This window comes from Homo sapiens, chromosome 18 (assembly GCF_000001405.40).
Source record: "Homo sapiens chromosome 18, GRCh38.p14 Primary Assembly".
NCBI lineage: Eukaryota > Metazoa > Chordata > Mammalia > Primates > Hominidae > Homo > Homo sapiens.
In genome coordinates, this window is record NC_000018.10 from 58,464,336 (window position 1) to 58,474,630 (window position 10,295).

The following is a 10,295-nucleotide window of genomic DNA, read 5'->3' on the forward strand; positions in this document are numbered from 1 at the left end:
GTGGCTTCAGTTATCACCTCTCAGGTGATCCTTGGTTCTGAAGAGCCCTTAGGCAATCTGCTGTATTCCCTGTCTGTGCTTTTGTGGCCCGTCATGGTGAGCAAGTCCACTGGAATTCTCAGGTAACAGGGAATAGAGAGACACATACTATCAATGTTTTCATGTGAACATAATACCCTTATTTAAGGGAGGCAGTAGTGAGGGATGTTCATTTCCTATGTATCAGGCAAGACCAGCTGGATTCATATGGTGCAGGACTATTTGCCCTTCCCTGACTCTCTCTGGTCTCTTCTCTGATTGAGTCAGCTAATGTGATTTGTTAGCCGTTATTGATTTTTTTTTTTTTAATTGAAGTCTCGCTCTGTCACCCAGGCTGGAGTGCAGTGGTGCCATCTCAGCTCACTGCAACCTCTGCCTCCCGGATTCAAGTGATTCTCCTGCCTCAGCCTCCTGAGAAGCTGGGAATACGGGTGCACGCCACCATGCCTGGCTGATTTTTTTTTTTTTAATATTTTTGATAGAGATGGGGTTTCCCCATGTTGGCCAGGCTGGTCTTGAACTCCTGACCTCAAGTGATCCACCTGCCTCAGCCTCCCAAAGTGCTGGGATTACAGGCATGAGTCACCATGCCTGGCCTGTTGTTGATTTTTATACGTTAAAAAAATAGAATTAAATGTTTTCAGCCATGTTTCCACTGATGGGATACCCAGACATGGAGAAACTCTAAAGATAGGCTTCTGGAGAGAGGAAAACAACGCATCATCTAGCAGGCTTTCCGCACGTCTCTCATTTTGGCTAATGGTTCCAGGCAGCTATTTTGGTGGTGTTTGTCCTGTCTTCGTTCTTTTCATCTTATAGGTACCCACAGCATATCAGGGCCTCAATGGGGCAACAGAAATGTATATATGAATAAACAAGCAATAATCCTGGCACTGAAAGGCAACTCATAGCTCAGATGCTCGCCCATATCTGTGTGGGCTTTCCCCCTGCAGAGCTAAGGCAGCCTGACTGCCCCACCAGGACTGGCATCTCTTTGCTGAAGGCTTGCTTTAGCTTCCAGAAGCCTCTTTGCCTACGCACAGGTGGCAAAAGTGCCAGATCCTCCTCTGGTGATGGACAGGAGTCAGCGCATAGAGCCTCACTCCTGGGGAAAAACCGTGAGATGCATGCTCTTTGCTGGCATGCACAGGTCCCAGGGGCCCACCATGGTAACAGCCCCTCTAGGCGCTGCTGGCTGCCTGCTCTCTTCCCCACCTACTGTGCTTCCTAGGATCACCTCCCAAACAGCTGGCATGCAAACCCTTGTCAACAGCTCTGCTTCTGAGGGAACCTAATCCAGGACAACCCCAGATGTCTTGTGGAGACCCCATGAACGGCATGGAGGCATCATAAAGCATGCCCAGGGCATGGGCAAGGGAGCACGGAGAAGGGGACCCGAGAAGGGGGCTGGAGAAAGAGAGATGTGACCTGGGGCAAAGCGAAGGCAGGGCATTCCCGGCAGATGCAATTGCAAGAGCAGGGCTGTGAAGGGCTGAACTGGTGCTTGAGGCAAGACGATGATGGCTTGGAATTGTGTTATTTGTGATTTTCTTTTTTCTCTCTTCCTCATATAAACTGCTCTGGGACTGGAGAGCAGAGATGTGATGTAGCCTTGAGGAGCAACGGATAGTAGGCGTGGAAAAGACAGCACAAAACAAAGAGCAGAAGGTTTTAAATTATTTTTCCCAAAACAGGCTTCTTGGAATCAAGGATGAAGCAGAGCACAGAAGCTTCTCTTCTGCCCAGAGGGGAGACACAGGAGGGTCACAGGGCCAGGCGTAGCACAGAGCATGGGGAAAGGGTAGGACATTGGAACCCTTGGCGGGGGGATGCTGGCACACCCTGGAGGCTTGGGTGGTTGCTGTGGAGTGTTTGTTAGAATTTTATTGTAATCACAGCTTTTGCAATGAAAAGTAATGGCAAAAACCGCGATTACTTTTGCACCAATCTAATAAAAGCTGCATTAGCTGTTTACCTGGGCACTGAGGGGTGATACTTCCATGGCAGCTTCACTGCTCAGGCCCATGGAGTGTCCAGGAGACGATGTCCAGACGCCACCCGCCCCCCCCACCACCATGCTGAGCCTGGGCCTCTTCCAGTGCCACATGTGGCCCTCCCCTTCCAGTAGCCGAGGCAATAATCCTCTTTCTCAGAGCTGCATTCAGGGTATGAGAGGCCCTGGATGGTGGTGGAAACCCTCCCACACCCAGACCCCAACACAGGCTAAATCTGAAGAGTGCTGATAAGGTTTGGCTGTGTCCCCACCCAAATCTCATCTTGAATTATAGCTCCCATAATTGCTACATGTTGTAGGTGGGACCCAGTGGGAGATAATTGAATCATGGGGGTGGTTTTCCCCTACTGTTCTCATGGTTGTGAATAAGTCTCATGCAATCTGATGGTTTTATAAGGGGAAACCCCTTTCACTCGGTTTTCACTCTCTTTGCCAGCCACCATGTAAGATGTGCCTTTGTTCTTCCCTCACCTTCTGCCATGAGTGTGAGGCCTCCCCAGTCACGTGCAACTGTGAATCCATTAAACCTCCTTTTCTTTATAACTGACCCAGTGTCAGGTATGTCTTTACCAGTAGCATGAAAACAGACTAATACAAGTGCCAACCTGTCTGGGCAAGAAGCCAGCTCTGTACAAGGTGAGGGAAATGACAACTCACAACATGGGGAGAAAGTAACGACCTTTGAATCACCTCCTCATGCTATGCACCGAGGCCTGCTCATTGTATGTGAACCTATAGATGATATAAATATATGCATATATGTTATATAAAAGCTCTGAGATTCACTTTTTAGTTGTCTGAGCATGAATGTGACAATTCAATTGAGCTGCTCTGCAATAAGGATGAAAGGATAAAATTAGAACCAATTAAAGTTACTTGATGAAACATAAGCACCATGGAAAATTCCATGTTAAGTGATGGGGTGACCTGACATGTGAAGTCTTGCTGTCTCATCCCCAGTGCAGAGAAAAAAAATGGGCTGGAGCTCTGAGGCCTGCGAGGTCGGTGGCCAGCTTTGAGGGTAGGGACACAGTAGGACCCTAGGAGAAAGGAGAGGTCAGCAAAAGTGGATGGGGGAGTCTCTTTTGGGTATCTCCTCCTGTGCTTTGATATTTTTCCCAGAGGTTGCTGGGGCTTATCTTTGGGGTGCATCACCAAAAATATCCTTCCTGGAAGATAGAGTGATGGATAAGACACCCGAGAGTCAGAAGATGTGATTTCGGGTGCTGGCTTGGCCACTGAGTCATGAACAACTCCTGGTAAACTCACTGAACATCTCTGCATGGAGTTCCCTCATTTGGAAAAGCAGGATTAAGATGTCTGAATTACTCTCCTGAATTATTGTCAAGCTTTTAACTGCTTAATCCACATATATTTTTTTTTAAGACAGAGTCTTGCTCTGTTGCCCAGGCTGAAGTGCAGTGGCACGATCTTGGCTCACTGCAACCTCCGCCTCCTGGGTTCAAGTGATCCTTATTCTTCAGTCTCTGGAGTAGCTGGGATTACAGGCACGTGCCACCATGCCAGGCTATTTTTTGTATTTTTAGTAAAGACTGGCTTTCACCATGTTAGCCAGGCTGGTCTCGAACTCCTTACCTCAGGTGATCCGCCTGCCTCAGCCTCCCAAAGTTCTGGGATTACAGGTCTGAGCCACCTCACCCGGCCTTAATCCACATTTGGAAGAATTAACAGCTCCTTACAAATGGAGGAGGCCAGCGGTACATTATCAACATCAACATCTCCACCTCCACCACTCTTAGGGCCATGCTGTCTGGTAATCTATGGGAAGAGATGCAGGAGTGATCCTCCCTAGCAAGTCTGCATCCCAAGAGGCATATTTCTTGAGATGCAACATTTCCACCCAGAAGTTTGACTTTCTGGGTTTGTGACCAAAGGATAAAGAGTGTTTTGTGACAGGTGAGCATTTTGGTTCCCTGACCTCAAATCACATAGGCAGCAGTTTATTGTACCCGTGAGCAGGCCTGGACCTGCAAGGAATGTACTTCCTCACATTTAAAAGGTGATGTTTCCATTTCTTTGTATCACTTGCATTTTGGCAGAACTGGACATTGCAGGAAAATGAGTTTGAATGTAGGCTTCTTCCCTGGAATGCTTTGCATTTAAATAACTGCTTTAGGCTGGGCACGGTGTCTCACGTCTGTAATTCCAGCACTTTGGGAGGCTGAGACGGGCAGATCACCTGAGGTCCGGAGTTTAAGACCAGCTTGGCCAACATGGGGAAACCCTGTCTCTATTAAAAATACAAATTTTCCATGTGTGGTGGCGCATGCCTGTAATCCCAGCTACTCAGGAGACTGAGGCACAAGAATCGCTTGAACCCGGGAGGCAGAGGTTGCAGTGAGCCGAGATCGCACCACTGCACTCCAGCCTGGGAACAGAAAGATACCCTGTCTCAAAATAAATAAATAAATAATGAAAAACTAAATAACTGCCTTAGATATTCCTTTTCCAGAATTCTTGACCTGGAGTTCTTCCTTGGTGACTTGGTCAAGGATAAGCACTTAAACGGAGGTATCCCCATGTGTGTTGTACTGGTCGCTTATGCCACCAAATCTCAGGGAAACATTGGTGAAGATGGAGACAATACTTCTGTAAGCTTTGGCCATAGCTACGTGTAACTTGAATATAAAAGCAAGGGGGGTCCACATGGGCCAGTCCCCTGTAAACAGTTGTACCAAATCCTAGCACCAAATATGATTAAAAATCAGTCCAAAATCTCTATGTCCTGGTTACATCCCAGACCAATTCAATCAGAAGCTCTGGGGTGAGACCTAGCATCATTTTCTTTTCTGTTTTTGTTTAGTTTTTGAAACAGAGTCTTGCTCCATCACACATGCTGGAGTGCATAGCTCACTGAAGCCTCGAACTCCTGTGCTCAAGTGATTCTCCTGCCTCAGCTTCCTGAGTAACTGGGACTACAGGCACACACTACCATGCCTGGCTAATGTTTTGATTTTTTGTAGAGATGGGATCTTGCTATGCTGCCCAGGCTGGTCTCGAACTCCTGGCCTCAAATGATCTGCCTTCCTCGACCTCCCAAAGTGCTAGCCACAATGCCCGACCCTGGCATCATTATTTTCTGACACTCCCTGATAGTCCAATGCCCAGCTAAGATTTAGAAAGATTGATTTGGTGGGTTGAGGAGGGAAGGGCTGTTTGAGAAAGTGATATTTGAATGGAGATATAAAAGATAAGGAGAGAACCAAGAAAAAAGTTTCTGGAAAAATGCCAAATAAAAGGTACAAACTGAGAGGCTTATTCCAGTAATTGAATGAAATTCAAAGAAAAATGCCATATTTGCCTTTTACACTTTTTTTTTTTTCTTTTTGAGACTGGGTCTCACTCTGTTGCCCAGGCTGGAGTGCAGTGGTGTGATCTCAGCTCCCTGTAGCTTCGAACTCTTGAGCTCAAGCCATCCTCCCACCTCAGCCTCCTGAGTAACTGGGACTACAAACACATGCCACCATGCCTGGCTATTTTTTCTGTTTTGTAGAGACGGGGGTCTTATCGTGTTGTCCAGGCTGATCTTGAACTCCTGGGCTCAAGTGATCTACCTGTCTTGGCCTCCCAAAGTGCTGGGATTACAGATGTGAGCCACCATGCCTGGCCTAAAACTTCTTATTCTTTAGGTAATACTGGCCTAAGGACCAAAGATAATGCCCAGTATCCCCAGACCTGACGGTGAGCCTTACCTCACGATTCAAACTGAGCAGGAGGATCTTTCTAAGGAGGAGCCTCCTCTTCCTCCAGGATATTTAAAATAGGGCTTGGTGGAAGAGAATTTTGCTTGATCCGGGTTTTCAGGATGCCACCTGCTACATAAAATGAACATACAGGGCATTGGGGGCTCAAGGAGGTGAAATCGCTAGGGCAGAGAAGAAGGTAGGGGCAAGTAGATTCATCTCATTAAGTTCTCCCGTGCGAGGCAGTTTTTCTTCCTCGTCTGAAGTCCACCACTGGGAGGGAGAGAGGAGGAAGGTAATTCGTGGACACAGAACCACATCTAATTTAAACTCTTGGTCTGGTGTGGCAAGGGATTTGTTTGAATTATTGATTTCCTGTAACACAGACTTAGAAACAATAGTAAAGACTACATTGATCTTCAAGACCATATCATGAGGCACTATTAGCAAGATGTGCAAATACAGACATAAGTGATAAGCCAAAACTCTCCTGGGAAGCCATAACAGTGCCAAGGGAACCAACTTTTTAGAGTGAAAATTTCTGTTGATTGTTAGAAATGTCTGAGGCTACCTGCAAACAGTGGCTCCTACAGTTGAAATGCATCTGCCTGACAGAGATGCCTGGATTTTCCTAGCACGAGCTGTTCTCTGCCGTCCCCCTTCAGCCGGCTGCTACCCCGTAGAGCCCTGAGGAGGCTGTGTCAAGAAGGAAGTTTCCAGATGCTGGAATGGATCAGCCTAGTTTGCTTTCTGCTTTCTTTCTCCCTTCTGTCTCTGGGTATCTCAGTCCATTCGGGCCACTATAACAAAATACCACAGACTGGGTAATTTAAATTACCCAAAAATTTGTTACCATTCTGGAGGCTGGGAAGCCCAAGATCAAGGTGCTGGCGGGTCTGGTGTCTGGACAGAGCTGGCTTCCCGGTCCATAGATGGTGTCTTCTCAATGTTATCTCATATAGTGGGAGAGATGAGGAGTTTCTCTGGGGCCTTTTTTATAAGGGCACTAATCCTGTTCATGAAGACTCCACTCTCCTGACCTAATCACCTCCCAGAGTCCCCATCTCCTAATACCATCACCTTGGGGGTGAGGATTTCAAATATGTACTTTATGGGGGACATAGACATTTAGTCCATTGCACTGGGTCATTCATGCCTTCCCAGGATTTGCTCCTGAGCCCCTCTAGACCTGTGCCTTGCTGGTGTCCCAGTGCCCTCTCCTGCTTGTTGGTCCGGAGATGCCTCACATGGTCAGGAACCCTGCTCTCTGCTCCTCCATCCTGCCTCCTGTCTGAGCAAGCACTATGCTCTTCAGGTTCCAGATGTTCAGCCCATGCCCATGGCTGAATCCCAGTGCCCCATGAAGCCCACAGAAATAAGCCTGGACCCCTGACCAATCAGCAAAGCCCCTGCCTTATGCATGTCCCCAGCCTGCTGCTCCTCCTCCATGGCTCAATGTAATATCTCTCCCGTTTCAGGAATATTTGCTAGTTGTTTCCCAACATCATCTTAGTCTTGCTTCTGAACCATGGTTCTTGAGAGTCTCCCCACAGGGAGTACCTTTCTTTCTTTGCTGATCTCTCACCTCCCTTTATGCCCTGTTCAAAATTCACCTTTTTCTGAAAGATGGAAAAGGAGCAGAAATCTGGAAGAGCTATTGATCAAGCTGCATTTACCTAAAAACAGCGTGGGGATGAAGTAGAGAGATTAACTCTCCAAACTCTTGTAGCTGGTAATTGTCAGAACCAAGATTGGAGCCCAGCGGTTTTATTCAGACTAGGTACCTTAGTCTCGCAATGCTGCCGTCCTGCTTTAGAAGGCTCTTCAAGTCCGTTATCTCATGCTAAGGGATCTAAAGAAGCCAGAGATTTTTAACCAAACCAAATTGCCATAAGCAAGAACCTCTACCTCTCCATCAGAGAACACCAGCATGGATGGGTCAGAGGTATCCATCCAGTGAACAAATGTTCATTAGAGTGAGCAATGTGCCAAGCATCTCTAGGTACTGGGCTGCAGCAGTAAATAAACCAGAAAAAAACATAACCTGCCCACAGGAAACTTACTTTCTGGTGTGGGGAAGATAGACAATTAAAGAGTAAAATGTATATGATGTCACATGATAATAAAGGCTAAAGAAATAAAGGTGGGGCCAGGCACGGTGGCTCATGCTTGTAATCCCAATACTTTGGGAGGCCAAGGTGGGTGGATCACGAGGTCAAGAGATTGAAACCATCCTGGCCAACACGGTGAAACCCCATCTCTACTAAAAATACAAAAATTAGCTGGGCATGGTGGTGCATGCCTGTGGTCCCAGCTACTCGGGAGGCTGAGGCAGGAGAATCGCTTGAACCTGGGATGTGGAGGTTGCAGTGAGCTGAGATCTCACCACTGCACTCCAGCCTGGTGACAGAGTGAGACTCCATCTCAAAAAAAAAAAAAATAAAGGAAAATAAAGGTGGAAGAAGGATAAAGAGCCTGGGGAGGGAGCTTGTCACTTTCCCTATGGTTTCAGGGAAGAACTTTCTGAGAAGGTGACTTTTGAGCAAAGGCCTTAGAAGGTGGTGGATATCTGGAGAGGAATGGTCCAGACAGAGGGAATAGCAAGTGCAAAGGCCCTGAGGCAGGAGTGTTCCAAGAACAGCAGGATGATCAATGTTGTTGGAACTGAGAACAGAAGTGGGAAGATGAGACGAGAGGCATTTGGGATAGTATAGTGTCTCATTGGCCTTTGGGATGCATTTGGGCTTCATGCAGAGGGAGATGAGAGGCTATCAGAAGTTCTAAGAAGACGAGCAGCATCTTCTGACTCTGGTTTCAACAGGATCACCCTGGCTGTTCAGTGGTGGATGGCCTGAAGGAGGGGCAAGGACAGGATTCTGGACACAAGTCGAGAGGCCACTGCAGAAAGCCAGATGGATGTGATGGTGCCTGGATCAGCGAAGCGGGGACACAGGTGGTGCTGGATATAAGTTGAAGCGAAGGGAACAGGACTTAATGATGGAGTAGATGTGATGCATGAGGAAAACAGAAGCTGCCAGTGCTTGGGATTGGCCGGCTGGAGGGAAGGAGCTGCCTGTGATAAGGAAGACTGGAAGCAGCAGAGCTGGGGGAAGTTCACAGCTGGCATGCTGCACAGCTCCAGGAGGCAACGTTCTCATTCTCCTATATAAAGAGCAGCCCCTAGGATTGTGCAAGGAGGTGACTGTACCCAGATTAATCTTACCCCTTTCTGCCCTAGGCTTCTTAGTAATTTTAGAATCAGCTGGGCAAATATGGAGAAGGAAGCAAGGCTGGGTTTTTGCCAGTGTATTAGAGTTCTCCAGAGAAACAGAGCCAAGAGGATATTCATATAACAGGTCTCGTTATAAATCTTTTTATATATAATATATAGACATGCTCAGGTGTGACAGTTCTAACATTCATAGCTGGCGTGCTGCACAACTCCAGGGGGCAGCATTCCCATTTTCGTACATGAAGAGCAGCTCCTGGGATTATGCAAGGAGGACATACATATATAATATATAATATTTAATATATAAAAAGCTTTATTGTAAGAAATTGGCTAGTGGGCTTATGGAGGCTGGGAAGTCTCACAATCTGCTGTCTGCAAGCTGGAGACCCAGGAAAGCCAGTGGTGTAGTTCCAGTCTGAGCCCAAAGGCCTGAGAATCAGAGAGCCAATGGTGTTAAGTCCCTGTCCGAGGACAAGAGAAGATCAATGTCTGTCTCGAGCAGTCAGAGAAAGTGAATTCTCCCTTCCTCCACCTTTTTTTTTTTTTCTATTCAGGCCCTCAATGGATAGGATGAGGCCTTCTCACAGTGGGGAGGGCCACCTGCTTTACTGAGTCCCCCAATTCAAATGTCAGTCTCCTCCAGGAACACCCCCATAGACACACCCAGAATAATGTTTAATCAAATATCCGGGCACCCCATGACCCAGTCAAGTTAACACTTAAAACTGACCATCACAGTCAGTTACTTATAGAGCCACCAAAAAAGGGTCGGGGAGAGTGAAGACTAGAAAAGATTCTTGAAAGAGATGAGGAGAAGTGGAGATAAGTATTGTACCTCAAGTACTTCCCAAGGAAAGGGAATCGGCTCTGAGCTAGGAGAGTAGCTTGAGGACAAGAGACGGGAGGGTGACTTCAGGGTGCCACAGTCAGAAGAGGGGAGGCCAGGTGGGTTGGTGTAGGGCTTCTATGTTAGATGAAATAAGCAATGGGTTTTCACTAATCCTCATCCTCAAATTCACCAATATGAACAAAATGAATGAACTTTGTGGAAGTACATGCAATGCACAGAGAAATGAAAAACAGCTACAATCCCAGTCACAAGTCTGAGATGAGTATCTGCAGCTAAACATGGACCACACATGTGAATTGGATGGGGGAGGACAGAGATGACACAGCAATTGATTCAAATATTTTTTGAGCACATACTATGTGCCAGACACTTCTAGGTGTTAGGGATGCATCAGTAAACAAAAGAGAGAAACATCGCTGTCCTCATAGAGCTTACATTTGAATGTGGGAGACAAAC